General features: G+C 40.5%; 1 protein-coding gene across 1 annotated transcript in view; it reads left to right on the forward strand.

Annotated features, from left to right (window-relative positions):
* HSPA4 (heat shock protein family A (Hsp70) member 4) overlaps positions 1-15,868 on the forward strand; it is a 54,437-nt gene that overhangs the window by 17,373 nt on the left and 21,196 nt on the right. The window contains exons 4-7 of the mRNA NM_002154.4: positions 989-1,111; positions 3,845-3,944; positions 4,608-4,741; positions 7,269-7,513. Of these exons, the coding sequence (NP_002145.3) occupies positions 989-1,111; positions 3,845-3,944; positions 4,608-4,741; positions 7,269-7,513 (602 nt within the window). The remainder of the gene's footprint in view (positions 1-988; positions 1,112-3,844; positions 3,945-4,607; positions 4,742-7,268; positions 7,514-15,868) is intronic.

Below are 15,868 nucleotides of genomic sequence, written 5' to 3' on the forward strand. Positions count from 1 at the left end.
ATTACAGGCATGGACCATCATGCCCAGCTAATTTTTTGTGTTTTTAGTAGAGATGGGGTTTCACCATTTTGGTCACGCTGGTCTTGAACTCCTAACCTCAAGTGATTTGCCCGCCTCAGCCTCCCAAAATGCTGGGACTACAGGTGTGAGCCACTGCACCTAGCCCATCTTTTATTATTTAATTCAACCAGTATATATTGTGCCAGGTCCTGTTCTAGGTGCTGGAGCTATGGCAGTGAACAATCAGACAAATGCATGTCCTCATATTAGATTGAATCCTAATTGTGGAGATGGATAATAAACAGTAAACACATTAAAATACACATAGTATGTCAGATAGTAAAATAGTTTCTACCAGCAGCCTCTTTATGGAGGGACAGTGTGGGTCATGGTGAGCTACACTGATTTGTCTTTGCAAAGGAAGTTGTCTTAAGATTTGTTGTTTTACACTGTGGTCCTTCATCTCCAAGTATCGTGTTTGGTTGAAAGCTAAAATAGGCTATGCGTGGTGGCTCATGCCTGTAATCCCAGCACTTTGGGAGGCCGAGGCAGGAGGATTCCTTGAAGCCAGGAGTTTTGAGACCAGCATCGGCAACAAAGCAAGAACCCTGTCTCTGCAAGAAAAAAATAAATTAGCTAGGTATGGTGACATGTGCTTTTGCTCCCCGCTACTTGGGAGGCTGAGGCAGGAGGATTGCTTAAACCCAGGAGGTTAAGTCTCCAGTGAGCTGTGATCATGCCACGGCGCTCCAGAGAGAGAGAATGACAGAGAGAGAGACCCTGCCTCCAAAATAATAATAATAATAAAAAAAGAAGCTAAAAGTGACCTTCAAGGTATTACTTCGAAAACTAGCTTTTTTTTTTTTTCAATCCCCTCTTGAGATAATGTTGCATTGATAATGGGAAGCATTGTTCATTTTAGCTTTTAGGACTAGGACATGAAGAAAGAAATATAATAAGTCTAGGCCCCTTTGTTGTTTTCTTGCAGGTGACATATATGGAGGAAGAGCGAAATTTTACCACTGAGCAAGTGACTGCCATGCTTTTGTCCAAACTGAAGGAGACAGCCGAAAGTGTTCTTAAGAAGCCTGTAGTTGACTGTGTTGTTTCGGTGAGTTTGATCCCTATACATTATTGGGAATTTGCATGAAGAAGCAGAGAGAAGAAAGCTGCTAATTTCAAGTAAACTTGTTTTTTTGTCTCAGGTTGTAATGGTTATTTAAAATGTTTGTCAGGCCGGGTGCAGTGGCTCACGCCTGTAATCCCAGCACTTTGGGAGGCCAAGGTGGGTGGATCACCTGAGGTCAGGAGTTCGAGACCAGCCTGGCCAACATGGTAAAACCCCGTCTCTACTAAAAATACAAAAATTAGTTGGGCGTGGTGATGGGCACCTGTAATCCCAGCTATTCGGGAGGCTGAGGCAGGAGAATCACTTCAACCCGGGAGGCTGAGGTTGCGGTGAGCCGAGATCATGCCATTGCACTTCGGCCTGGGTGACAAGAGCAAAACTCTGTTTCAAAGAAAAAAAAAATTTATGAAACTAGTCTTCATTTTCTTACTCTCTTCTGCTGCTTAGCTTTTGCTCAGGCCTCCTTTGTTATTCTGCCTATTTAAATCTCTTCTGTTTTTCAAGGTGCATTCATCTCAGCCTGCCCACTTCTTCCTGTATTTTTTTCATCGCCTAGCATAGCACAGGGTAGCCACTCATTTGTTGAATTAGTTGGATACCCCTAATTGTAAATGGCACTTGTTCTGTATTTGTATTTGCTGTTGGTATCTAGCGTTAAAGACAAAGGCAAGGACTGGGCATGGTGGTTTAATCCCAGCACTGTGGGAGGCCAGGGCAGGAAGATTGTTTGAGACCAGCCTGGGCAACACAATGAGATCCCTGTCTTTACCAAAAAAAAAAAAAAAAAAAAAAAAAAATTAGCTGGGCATGGTGGCACACACCTGTAGTCCCAGCTACTTGGGAGGCTCATTCGAGCCCAGGAGTTTGAGGCTGCAGTGAGCTGTGATCACACCACTGCATTCTAGCCTGGACAACAGACTGAGACCCTGTCTCAAAAAACTTATCCAAAAAACAAAGACATGGCAGCAGTTGACTTTATCTTTTGCATATCCCTGTTAAGATGGAAGCCTGGCTACTGTAGTTTTGTGCTTTAGTTTGGTGGAATCCTTAGGGACTGTTGAAATATGTGTGGTTACATTGGCTTTGCCACCGAATCTCCTCATTCTGTAATTGTTACCTGATACTTTAGTTTCATGGCCTCTTTTGTCTTAATGTTGGTGCATTGATTGGCAAAGCAAGGACTGTTAGGTGGCTTTTTCACCCCAGAGTCTGTTGCCTGGCGGATTTCTTGGTCCTTGGTTATTGTAAAGTAGAATTGACATTTGTCAGAAAGAATTGGATTATAGTTGTGTACACCATTCTGGGGGTGGGCTTTATTCTTTATAGAAGAATGAAAATTCTGTGTTCCTTTAAAAAGCTCAGATTCAGTGACCTTGATTCCCCAGTGGCTGATACACCAGATCCTGTATTTCTTAGATGTTTCCTACCTTTCCTCAGCTCTTCCATTGGTCTCCCAGATTTGTTTCCATTCCTCCATCTAGTGCCCCTAGCTTTGATCCTGCATAACACTCTGTGTGGGAGTAAAATTTATGTAAAATATTGGAATGCGTAAGTGTCTTCCAGTTTTGGGTATCAAGTTAAAAGGTGATAGTGTTGAGTCATGTTTGGGTGGGGCCTCAAGATCACACTGGAGTTTTGGTAATTTGCTTAGGAGGGTTCACGGGCCCTAGCGTATAGCTATTCTCATGCTAAGATTTATTGTAGTGAAGGGATACAAAGCAAAATCAACAAAGGGAAAAGGCACATGAGGCAGAGTCTGGAGGAAACCAGGCACAAGCTTCCCAGAGTCAGCCTGTGCTTAACTCCAGCAACAGGTTGTAACAATACGGGTGAAATGTCCTCTACCACAGGAGTTCTGCCTAGCCTGGTCCAGGGTTGTTTTTTTTTTTTTTTTTTTTTTTGGAGACTGAGTTTCGCTCTTGTTTCCCAGCTGGGAGTGCAGTGGCATGATCTTGGCTCACTGCAGCTTCCACCTCCCAGGTTCAAGCCTCAACCTTTGGAGTAGCTGGGATTACAGGCATGTGCCACCACACCCAGCTAGTGGTTTATTTTTTTTTTTTTTTTGTATTTTTTGTAGAGATGGGGTTTCACCATGTTGGCCAGGCTGGTCTCAAACTCGTGACATCAGGTGATCCACCCACCACGGCCCCCCAAAGTGCTGGGATTACAGGCGTGAGCCACCACGCCTGGCTAGTCCATGGTTTTCATCAGGGGTCTGTCACATTGGTACCCTATACCTAGCATGAACCAAAATTCCAACTCCCAGAAGGAAAGCCGGTAGTCAGCACAAGCTGCATGTTTATATAAACAGTTTAGGTACAGTGAACCACTCTTAATCATTTAGGGAAATTTTTTCTATTGATTTAGTGAACTGTTTGCAAATCAAGGTCCTAGATGCCAGGCAAGGACCAACATGCAAGCAGGTGTTTTCTAAGGATAGCAGTTTCTGGCCTTTATATTAACTCTTCTCTGCAGTCACTACTTCAGCTGTTGGTATTTTGGTCTGCCATGTAATGAGTATATGTAAGGTAATGGTACGGCTATTTGTTTATCCTAACACTGCTTACTAAATATTCTAACTTTTCCCTACTAGTTTGAAATATTTTCTTGATCATATACAGAATAAATTGCTGTAGGTATTTGATGGTGTTCCTGGATTTTACTAACTAAAATTAGAATCTATAATACAGTAAGCATTCTTTTTTTTTTTTGTAGGTTCCTTGTTTCTATACTGATGCAGAAAGACGATCAGTGATGGATGCAACACAGATTGCTGGTCTTAATTGCTTGCGATTAATGAATGAAACCACTGCAGGTAAGGAGGACCGTTGATTATTTTTTTGACTTGGTTAATCTTGAAGATTGTGAAATTTTAAAACCCTGGGGTTTCTTGCTCTTTATTTTGCTTTCAGCACTGCTGCTCTTGCTTACCACTGTGGTCATGGTGTTTTTGGATACTGTGTCACTTGTGAAGAATTAATCTGACCAGTGCTTTTTGTGTACCTTTATAGCATGCATTTTGGTATTTAAACACATGCTTGTTGGGGAAGGAGAACACTTAGCGTGTGGAGCAGTGCTTTGGGTTAAAGACTGGTCTTCTCTTAGACTTGTGGACTGGTAGAGTCAGAGGAATGGGACATTAAGCAGCATCTCATGGACAGAACATGCGGGGATGTTAACATAGCATAGGGGTAGAAAAGATCCAGGAAAATATATTTGGAAAATGGGGGAAATGGCTTGGAGAAAATTATGCCAAAGTCCATTGGCAACTGTAAGGAAGTCTAAGTGAATATCAGTATTTAACTCTTGGAAGATAATCTTTTTCTTGAATAAATTATACAGTGCTTATAAAGAATTTGATTTCTAAAACATAACACATGTAGTTGCATTCGTTATATATAAAACCTCTTTTTTCCTGCTTAAATGAATTTTATTTACTTAGACGTTATTTTTAATTTTTGTGTTTTTTCTTCTGTAGTTGCTCTTGCATATGGAATCTATAAGCAGGATCTTCCTGCCTTAGAAGAGAAACCAAGAAATGTAGTTTTTGTAGACATGGGCCACTCTGCTTATCAAGTTTCTGTATGTGCATTTAATAGAGGAAAACTGAAAGTAAGTATATATTTTTTTTCCAGAAGACTGTTAGTAGTATGGTAATTATGAAATTTTGAGAGACAATGATTTTTTCTCATCTACAATATGGGAGAAACAATGCATACCTTACAGGGTTATTCAGAGGATTTTTTTTCTTTTCTTTCTTTTTTTTCTCTTTTTTTTTTTTGAGATAGAGTTTCGCTCTTGTTGCCCAGGCTGGAGTGCAATGGCGCGATCTTGGCTCACCGCAACCTCCACCTCCCAGGTTCAAGCGATTCTCCTGCCTCAGCCTCCCTAGTAGCTGGGATTACGGGCATGTGCCACCACGCCCGGCTAATTTTGTATTTTTAGTAGAGACGGGGTTTATCCATGTTGGTCAGGCTGGTCTCGAACTCCCGACCTGAGGTGATCCACCTGCCTCGGCCTCCCAAAGTGCTGGCATTACAGGCGTGAGCCACGGCGCCCAGCAGGAGGATTTTTTAACATGTAGTTCCTTGGTGAATTTTACACTGGGGATTGAGAGGGTGGTACAGGTGCTCTGTACTCTTGCTCATGAGGTTTTGAGTGTTCTGGAAAAGGGGTTTCTTTTGGATGCCAAAACAAACTGGACTAGGAATTATAGATTTCTAGAAAGCCTAAAGTTTAAGCAGTTTTGTACACACAGAAGTATAGAAGGCAAGGAGGGGCCAGAGGGTGATTGATCTCTGTCATAGTTGAGTTTGCTGGTTTATGCTAGTTCCACAGTAGGGTATAAAATTCTCTGTCTAGATGATTTTATCTAGAATTTGGTGAAGAACCAAGGATTTCTCAAGTGTTTGCTTTAATTATTTGAATTGTATATTAAAATTGTTGGTGCCAAGGTCTGAATTGACTGCCTTGTACCCATTGGAGATTGGTGGAGAGGGATTACCCCAAACTAAATATTTGGTAATTTTGGAGGCATTTTGAGACTTCATTTGTTATGGTCTTGTTTCTTTGAAAAATAGACGTTTCCACTTTATTTTCTGGTTTTATATTGTTTCTAGGTGGTTTTGTTTTTAAATAAAAAGAAAGCGAGTCTTTTAGATAATTGGGAAATGAGAGATTTGTGATTTTGCTTTTTGACAGCTATAAATGGTGGACCAAATGTAATTCTCAGTGTTTAAACTTTAATCACTAATAGAATTTCTAAGATCTATGCTATGCTTTCATCTTTTTAAACGGAAGACTCTGGTTATAATTTAGCCTGGCTTTGGATCAGAACGATGTGTATTAGTAGCCATCTGCTTCTGTTTTTCTAAATTGTCCTTCTGTGTTACCTGTCACCTGTCAGTTTTGCAATCCTTTTGATTACTTTTAAATTATAAAAATATTCATTACAAAAATCTCCCCAAATTGGAAAACATTTATGTGTAAAGACAAGTCTGGGCAACATGGTAAAACCCTGTCTCTACAAAAGTTAGCTGGGTGTGGCGGTGTGCTTGTAGTCCTAGCTACTCTGGAGGCTGAGGTGGGGGGATTGCTTGAGCCCGGAGTTTGAGAACAGCCTGGGCAACATGGCAAAACCCCGTCTCTACAAAGAAAATACAAAAATTAGCTGGATGTGGTGATGTGTGCCTGTAGTCCTAGCTACTTGGGATGCTGGGGTGGCGGGATTGCTTGAGCCTGGATGGTCGAGGCTACAGTGAGCTGAGATTGTGCCACTGCACTCCAGCCTGGGCAACAGAGTGAGACCCTGTCTCAAAAAAAAGAAAAAAAAATAAAGAAAAGTTACTTACAATCTTACCATTCTTAACAGCTTGATGTATTTCATTCTAATTTTCTAAGAAAACAGAATTGGAGTCACTATATTTAGCTCTGTGTCCTGTCTTTTTTTAAGTTAACATACTAAGAAAATTTCCCCCATGACGTGTAGCATTCTTTGAAGAGATTGTTTTTACTGGTTTTATTCCTTCATAAGGATGTCATCACTTATTTAGCCTAACTTCTATTACTGAATCTAATTAGATCTAGTTTGCTTCTAATCTGTTAGAGATTTGAAAACGGGTAACCCAGGCTAATTAGACTTCCAGGTTAAATAGAAACACATTGCGGTGAGCTAAGGCTTTAAGGAATCCTTTGGTAGTAAACTGCAGAGAGTTGAGCCTTTGGTATTACTCAGTTTTGTGATACTGAGTAGACTAGAAGTATGTACATGACATGTTAGTATATTTTACCTTGGACATGTAACTGCTATTGGTTGTCAGACTGGTGTAGTGGGGAGGGCATGGACTTTGGAATTAAGGAGATTTGGCTTTGAATTCCACTTCTACCACTTAGTAGCTTTGTGAACTGCAGTTTATCTCATCTGTCTAGGTCTGTAGCATTATCTGTAAATTGGGGATTATAGTGCCTATTTTTACAGTGTGGGGTAATAAGGATTAAATGATGTATACATTGCTTTGTTTTAACCTTAATGTAACCCTCCCTCTTTTTTTTTAGATAAACAACTTACCAGGTAAATATATATCATCTGTTTCAAAATCGATTGGTTAATTGTTAGATTAATTCTCATTTTTTCCTTAAGGTTCTGGCCACTGCATTTGACACGACATTGGGAGGTAGAAAATTTGATGAAGTGTTAGTAAATCACTTCTGTGAAGAATTTGGGAAGAAATACAAGCTAGACATTAAGTCCAAAATCCGTGCATTATTACGACTCTCTCAGGAGTGTGAGAAACTCAAGAAATTGATGAGTGCAAATGCTTCAGATCTCCCTTTGAGCATTGAATGTTTTATGAATGATGTTGATGTATCTGGAACTATGAATAGGTAAGTATATTACTATTTCGATGTTAAAGTGAAGAGTGAGTTTTCTCCACATATATTAACCTTTAATTGGCTAATTGTTAAAATAATCACGGAGGTTATATGATAATTTTGGTTCTATTTTAAAAATTAGAAGCCATTCAGGACCCTGCTTTTTATGTAAAGTTGGGTCTGGTTAATAATGTAGACTAATGTTTTTGTTCTGATAAATTGAATATTCCAACATGTTGATAGTTCTTTACATATGCATTTGTTATACACGAGATTTCAGTTTCCAAAAAATCAGGGCAAAGGGCTGTAATGCAGAATTAAATTGAATTTAATTTACCCAGTGACTAAGAAATTGTAATTTTTTTTTTGAGATGGAGGTTTTTGCTGTTTTGCCCAGGCTGGAGTAAAGTGGCACAATCTCAACTCACTGCAACCTCCACCCCCAGGTTCAAGCGATTCTCCTGCCTCAGCCTCCTGAGTAGCTGGGGTTATAGGTGCCTGCCACCACGCCCAGCTAATTTTTGTATTTTTAGTAGGGACGGTGTTTCGCCATGTTGGCCAGGCTGGTCTCAAACTCCTGACCTCAGGTGATCCACCCACCTCAGCCTCCCAAAGTATGAGGATTACAGGTGTGAGCCACCGTGCCTAGCCCGAAATTTTTCTTTTTGAAATATTCGGGTTCACTTGAGGGTGACAGCTCTTTTTGTATAGTGCTGCAAGAATTCTGGGTAATTGACATTTCGGGGTTATCCTCAGAAACTACCCAGAGTGTTATTGTTGCCTGGTTCAGTTGCTTGGATGATGGGAGTAAGATGTTCTTTTGGCTGTGAACTCTACTGGTAGAATTCAGGCAAGACTGATGGTGTATTTGGAGACATGGGCCTGAGCTATCCGTAAAAAAATTGAAATGGTGTTTATTGTTGCTTTGTATCCAAATTTTTAGTCACCTCTCCCCCTACTTGGAAGAGATGGCTTTCGTTTTTGTTAAGCAGCAGTCTTGTGTGTGTGTATGTGTGTTCCATGAAGTCTGGAGGTAAGCCAGTATGTTTAAGAAATTGTTAGTGAAATGTTACGTGTTTGTAAGAGCTAAGTAGATACTTATTAAGTAGTTTAAATTTTTTAAAAACTGAATTTGCCTGTGTGCTGTTGTTTGAAAATAGTTGTGGCCTGGTACGGTGGCTCACGCCTGTAATCCCAGCAGTTTGGGAGGCAGAGGCAGGCGGATCACGAGGTCAGGAGATTGAGACCATCCTGGCTAACATGGTGAAACCCCGTCTCTACTAAAAATACAAGAAATTAGCCGGGTATGGTGGCGGGTGCCTGTAGTCCCAGCTGCTGGGGAGGCTGAGGCAGGGGAATGGTGTGAACCTGGGAGGTGTAGCTTGCAGTGAGCTGAGATCGCACCACTGCACTCCAGCCTGGGCGACAGTGAGACTCCGTCTCAAAAGAAAAAAAAAAAATAGTTGTACTGTGATGGGGCATGGTGGCTCACTCCTGTAATCCCAGCACTTTGGGAGGCAGGTGCATCACTTGAGGTTAGGAGTTAGAGACCAGCCTAGCCAACGAGGTGAAACTCTTTCTCTACTAAAAATACAAAAACTAGCTGGGTGTGGTGGCAGGCGCCTGTAATCCCAGCTACTTGGGAGGCTGAGGCAGGAGAATCGCTTGAACTTGGGAGATGAAGGTTGCAGTGAGCTGAGATCGTGCCACTGTACTCTAGCTTGGGCAACAAAGTGAGACACTGTCTCCAAAAAAAAAAAAAAAAAAAAAAGTTGTACTGTATTTACATCATCAGAATACGTAGCTCTTATATGTTCTATATTATAGCCTTCATTTAGTGTGATTATTGTTGTTGTTATTTTTTTGAGACAGGATCTTACTCTGTCACCTAGGCTGGAGTGTAGTGGTGTGATCTTGGCTCACTGCACCCTCTGTTTCCTGGGCTCAAGTGATCCTCCTGCCTCAGTCTCCTGAGTAGCTGGGACTACAGGCACGTGCCACCACGCCTGGCTAATTTTTGTATTTTTTGTAGAGACTGGGTGTCACCATGTTGCCCAGGCTGGTCTTGAACTTCTGGACTCAAGTGATCTGCCTGCCTTAGCCTCCCAAAGTACTGGGGTTACAGGCACGAGATACTGTGCCTGGCCCCCTTCATTTAGTCTTTTAACATTCACCTTTGTTTAAATCGATGAAACCAGATTATTTGACATTATATTTCTTTTAATTAATGGTTTCTTCACTTAAAAACTTGAGGTGAAATTCAAGTATCATAAAATTAAGCATTTTAAAGTAAACAATTCACTGGAATTTAGTAAATTCACAGGGTTGTGCAATGGCCACCTCTATGTAATGGAAAAACATTTTCATCACCCCAGAATAAAACTTCATACCCAGTAGGTGATTATTTCCTGTTTCCCCTTACCTCTGGTCCCTGGTGATCAACAGCCTGTTTTCTGTTTCTGTGGATTTATCTATTCTGGATATTTCATATAAGTGTAATCATGTAATATGCGTCTGGCTTCTTTCGTTCTGACTTCTCAGTGTAATGTTTTTGAGGTTCATCCACATTCTGTATCAGTACTTAATTTGTTTTTTTGGGCAGATATTATTTTCTTGTATGGATATACCATATTTTATTCATCCATTCGTTTGCTGATGGACATTTGGGTTTCTACTTTTTAGCTATTGTGAATAGTGCTATGGACATTTGTGAACAAGTACTTGTTTTCAGGTCTTTTGCTTATATACCTAGGAGTGGAATTGCTGGCTTATACAGCAATTCTATGTTTAACTTTTTGAGGAATCTCCAAACTATATTTCTCAGTGATTATCCCCACCAGCGCCCTACTGGGTTTCAGTTTCTCCACGTCTTTGTCAACACTTATTTTCAATTATTTGGATTATTTTGGTAGATTACTAGTAGCTTTGTGTTAATTCATCGTTTTGATGGTTGGAAGTGCATTCTCCTGCAGATTCCTAAGGGATAGCACATGTGAATAGTGTTCCTTAAGTTCCTGCATGTTGATGACAGTTTGCCATGTTTATACTTAAAAGTCACTTTAGCTGGATAGAACATTCTTAGCTTTTCTTTCCTTGTTGAGGATCTTAAATGCAGTAACAATCTATTTTCTTTTGGTGTATAATATTGCTGTCAAAGTGTGACAGCATAGTTTTTAGATATTTGTCACTTGTTCTTTTTGCTTAGATGCCCAAATGTTTTTGATTTTTTTTTTTCTTGAAAGTCCATTTGGGTGTGGTGGCTCACACCTGTAATCCTAGCACTTTGGGACGTCGAGGTGGGCGGATGGCTTGAGCTCAGGAGTTCGAGACCAGCCTGGGCAACATGGCAAAACCTCGTCTCTACTAAAAATACAAAAAAGTAGCTTGATGTGGTGGTGTTCGCTTGTAGTACCGGCTACTCGGGAGGCGGAGGTGGGAGGATCACCTGAGCTTAGTAAGTCGAGGCTGCAGCGAACCATGATCACACCACATTGCACTCCAGCCAGGGTGATGAGAGTGAGACCCTGTCTCAAAAAAAAAAAAAAAAAAAAAAAACCCAATAATTTTACTACACTATATTTTGATGTTGGTTATTTTGCATCAGTTTTTTTCCAGGTACGCAGTGTGCCTTTTCATTATATAGTTTGACATTACAAATTTAAGTTTAATTAAAATTTCTTAAGTTTTCTTGAATTATGTTTTCTAGTATTCTGTTGTAGTGCTGTGGTTTTCTCTTTTGGGAATTCCTACATAATTATGTTGGATCTTCCTTGCCTATCTTACATATATATATATTTTTTTTTAGTTTGCCTTTTTTTTGTATTTGCCATTTTTGGTCCAGTCCTTCATGGCATTTCTCTTGTGTACTGTTTAGTTTTCATTTCTGACATTTATTCTTATACTTCTAATTCTGTTCTAGGTCTTTCTAATTCTGATTTGTTCTTTCATTTCCTGTATCACTTTTATTGAGATATAATTCACATACCATAAAACCTTACTATTTTAAAGTGTACAATTCCAGGGTTGTGCAACTGTGACCACTATTTAATTCTAGAATGTTTTTATCACCCCAAAAAGAAAACTTGTACCCATTAGCATTTACTCTCCATTTCCCTCCATACCCTAGGCAATTACCAATATGTTTTCTGTCTCTATAGATTTGCCTGTTCTTTTTTTTTTGAGACAGAGTCTCAGTAGGTCACCCAGGCTGGAGTGCAGTGGTATGATCTTGGCTTGCTTCAACCTCCACCTCCCGGGTTTAAATGATTCTCATGCCTCAGCCTCCTCAGTAGCTGGAATTACAGGTGGGGGCCACCACGCCCAGCTAATTTTCGTATTTTTAGTAGAGATGGGGTTTCGCCATGTTGGCCATGCTGGTCTTGAACTGCTGACCTCGAGTCATCCACCCGCCTCTGCCTCTCAAAGTGCGGGGATTATAAGTGTGAGTCCCTCTTTTGTTTTTGTGAAATATTTTAAAAATGTGGCTTAACTTTCTGAGATGTTTTCCCTCCCTCTTTTGTGTTTACTGTGTTGTTCTGCTTAGTTTGGATTTTTTAATCAGTAGTTTTTCTTCAGTGAGTTCTTTTTTCTTTGAAGATAACTTTAGGTAGGGCCCAGTTTGCTGTGGTTCCTGAATACCTTATTTGAGGACCTTTTATACTTGTTTTGGAGGATGCCAAACCCCTGCTGATTTCAGCTGCTGTTTTCAATTTGGCTCTCTGAGTTAGGTTATTCTGGAGTTTTCAGGTCAATTATATACCCTTTTGTTTCCTTCTGTTTATTTTGTACAGAGCTGATACTAAGCAGGAATTGTAGTTGTGGGTGGTTTGTCTCTGCCTATATGTATTTTGAGGTTTGTGGGCATATTTCATTACCTAGTTTTGTTGCAGGATTGTTTAAGCCCAGGAGATGGAGGCTTCTGTGAACCATGATTGTGCCACTGCGCTCCAGCCTGGGTGACAGAGGGAAAGCCTCTCAAAAACAAAACCAAAAAAATCTGCATCAAATTATCACATCATTCAGCAGTTGTATTTCTAGATACATATTCAAGAGAAATGGAAACACATGTCCACAGAAAAACTCATATGTGAATGTTCATTGCACTACTCATAATAGACAAAAAGTGGAAACAACCCAAATGTTCATCAACTGATGAAGTGGGTAAATAAAACATGCTATGTTCATACAATGGGATATTTTTGGTACTTGAAAAAAATGTAATACAGATACATACTAAAACATGGGTGAACCTTCAAAAGTTCACGCTGCTGAAAGAAGTCACAAAAGGCCACATTTTGTATGATTCTATTTATATGAAATGCCCCGAATTGGCAAATCTATAGAGACAGAAAGTAGATTTAGTGATTGCCTAGGGCTGTGGGAGTTGAGGAAAGTAACAGTTAAGGGTGATGAAAATATTCTTTTTTAGACTGAAAATGTTTTAAAATTGATTGTGGCGATGCTTGCACAACTCTGTATATATGAAGTCACTGAATTGTATACTTTAAAAATATTTTTGTACCAAAACCTCATGCCCAAAAGTCAATAATTACATACTTTATTTTTATCTTTTTAATTTTTAAAATTTATTTCTTTTTGAAACAAGTTCTCACGTTGTCATGCAGTCTGGAGTGCAGTGGTACTATCTCCGCTCACTGCAGCCTCACTCTCTCGGGTTCTAGAGATCCTCCCACCTCAGACCCCCAAGTAGATGGGAGTATAGGTGTTCACCGACATATCTGGCCAATTTTTGTATTTTTTGTAGAGACAGGATTTTGCCATATTGCTCAGGCTGGTCTCAGATTCCTGAGCTCGGCCACCCTCCTCAGACTCCCAAAGTCCTAGGATTACAGGTGTGAGCCACCTCACCCGGACGGGAATTATATACTTTAAATGGGTGAATTCTATAGCATGTAAATTATATTGCAATAAAACTTTTTAAAAAGAAACTATCAAAAAACCTCTACTGTCCAGGCATGGTGGCTCACGCCTGTAATCCCAGCATTTTGGGAGGCTGAGGTGGGTGGATCACCTGAGTTCAGGAGTTTGAGACCAGCTGGCCAATATGGTGAAACCCCATCTCTACTAAAAATACAAAAATTAGCCGGGTGTAGTGGTGGGTGCCTGTAATCCCAACTACTCGGGAGGCTGAGGCAGGAGAATTGCTTGGACCCGGGAGGTGGAGGCTGCAGTGAGCCGAGATACTGCCACTGCACTCCAGCCTGGATGACAGAGCGAGACTCCATCTCAAAAAAATACAAAAAAAAAAAAAAAAAATTACCCGGGCTTGGTGGCGTGCACCTGCAGTCCCAGCTACTCCGGAGGCTGAGGTGGGAGAATTGCTTGAACCTGGGAGGCGGAGGTAGCAGTGAGCTGAGATCGTGCCACTGCACTCCAGCCTGGGTGACAGAATGAGACTCCATCTCAAAAAAACAAACAAACCCCTACCGCTGTTGCCATCTTCTTAACAATCTTTTCCTTTGCTTTTCACAATTTTGATTTCAGATAGTTTCAGACATGCAACAAAGTTGGAAGAATTTTACAGTAAATGTCCTCATCCCACCACTTAGAGTCTACTGATAACATTTACTGTACTTGTTTTATTATATATTTGTTCATATATCCTATAAAGCCATCAATTTTTAATTTTTTTATTATTATTATTTTTTGAGATGGAGTTTTGCTCTTGTTGCCCAGGCTGGAGTGCAATGGCATGATTTCAGCTCACCTTAACCTCCGCCTCCCGGGTTCAAGTGATTCTCCTGCCTCAGCTTCCCAAGTAGCTGGGGTTACAGGCATGCACCACCACACCCAGCTAATTTTGTATTTTTTGTAGAGATGTTGTTTCTCCGTGTTGGTCAGGCTGGTCTTGAACTCCCAGCCTCAGGTGATCCGCCCGCCTCAGTCTCCCAAAGTGCTGGGATTACAGGTGTGAGCTACTGCGTGGCCTGGCCTCAATTTTGTTTTTAGCATATCTCAAAGTAAATTGCATCTGTATACTTCTTGCAGAAACTTAAATTGCGGACATCTATAAATGTAGACTTCTCCCCAAATACTAAGGTTTGCATATTAACCAGAATTCATTGTTTTTTGGATATATTTTTATATGACATACTCAGGTTTTAAGTGCTCATTTGCTGAGTTTCAACATACACATATATCTTTGTAACTAATGCCATTATTATGAAATAGACCATTATGTTGGAATGTTTCCTCAGGCTTCCATAACCACTGATGTGCTTTTTGTATTTTTCAGTCCCTAGATTAAGTTTGCCAATTCTGTAACTTCTTGTAAGTGGAATCATGTATTATGTAGTTTTTTGTGTAAGGCATTTTTTAGTCAGCATAAAATTGAGATTCATTTGTTTGTTTCACATGCCATTTGTTGTTCTTCTGTATTGCTAACTACTGTGCCATTGTAGGTTTGTTGTTATTGATGGACAGTGACTCTTTAGCTTTTTTTTCTATTAGAAGTAAAACATTTTAAACTTGAACATGTAAGATCTCTGGTTGCTACACATCTCACCAGTATTGAGGTTAGCAATCCTTAAGTTTTGCATGCTCTGGTGGGTGCATTCTATACTTTACTATTCTTTTTTTTTGAGATGGAGTTTCACTCTTTTCGTCCAGGTTGGAGTGCAGTGTCCTGATCTCGGCTCACTGCAACCTCTGCCTTCCAGGTTCAAGCGATTCTCCTGCCTCAGCCTCCCAAATAGCTGGGATTACAGGCATGCACCACCACGCCTGGCTAATTTTGTATTTTTGGTAGAGACGGGCTTTCTCCATGTTGGTCAGGCTGGTCTCAAACTCCCGACTTGAGGTGATCCACCCGCCTCAGCCTCCCGAAGTGCTGAGTTTACAGGCATGAGCCACCGCACCCAGCCTACTATTCTTTTTTATTGAGATGTAATTTAATAAAGTTACCCACTTTTCCCTTTTTTTTGGAGAAAGGATACCTATTGCCCAGGCTGGAGTGCAATGGGTTGATCATGGCTCACTGTAGCTTCGACCTCCCAGGCCCAGGTGATCCTCCTGCCTCAGCTTCCTGGGTAGCTGAGACTACAGGTGTGCGCCACCATGCCTGGCTAATTTCTTGTATGTTTTGTAGAGATGGGGTTTTGCTGTGTTGTCCAGGCTGGTCTTGAACTCCTGGGCTCAAGCCTTAGCTTCATGATGTGTTGGGACTACAGGCGTGAGCCACTGCACCCAACTAGAAGTCACCCTTTTAACGTGTATAATTCAGCGATTTAAAAAAAAATTTTTTTTTTTTTAGTATGTTCGTAGAGCTCAGCAGCCATCATCACAACTAAATTTTAGAACGTTTTCATTACTTCTTAAACCCTAAATGAGTGAGTAATCAGGCTGTGA

The sequence above is a fragment of the Homo sapiens genome, chromosome 5, assembly GCF_000001405.40.
Source record: "Homo sapiens chromosome 5, GRCh38.p14 Primary Assembly".
Classification (NCBI taxonomy): Eukaryota; Metazoa; Chordata; class Mammalia; order Primates; family Hominidae; genus Homo; species Homo sapiens.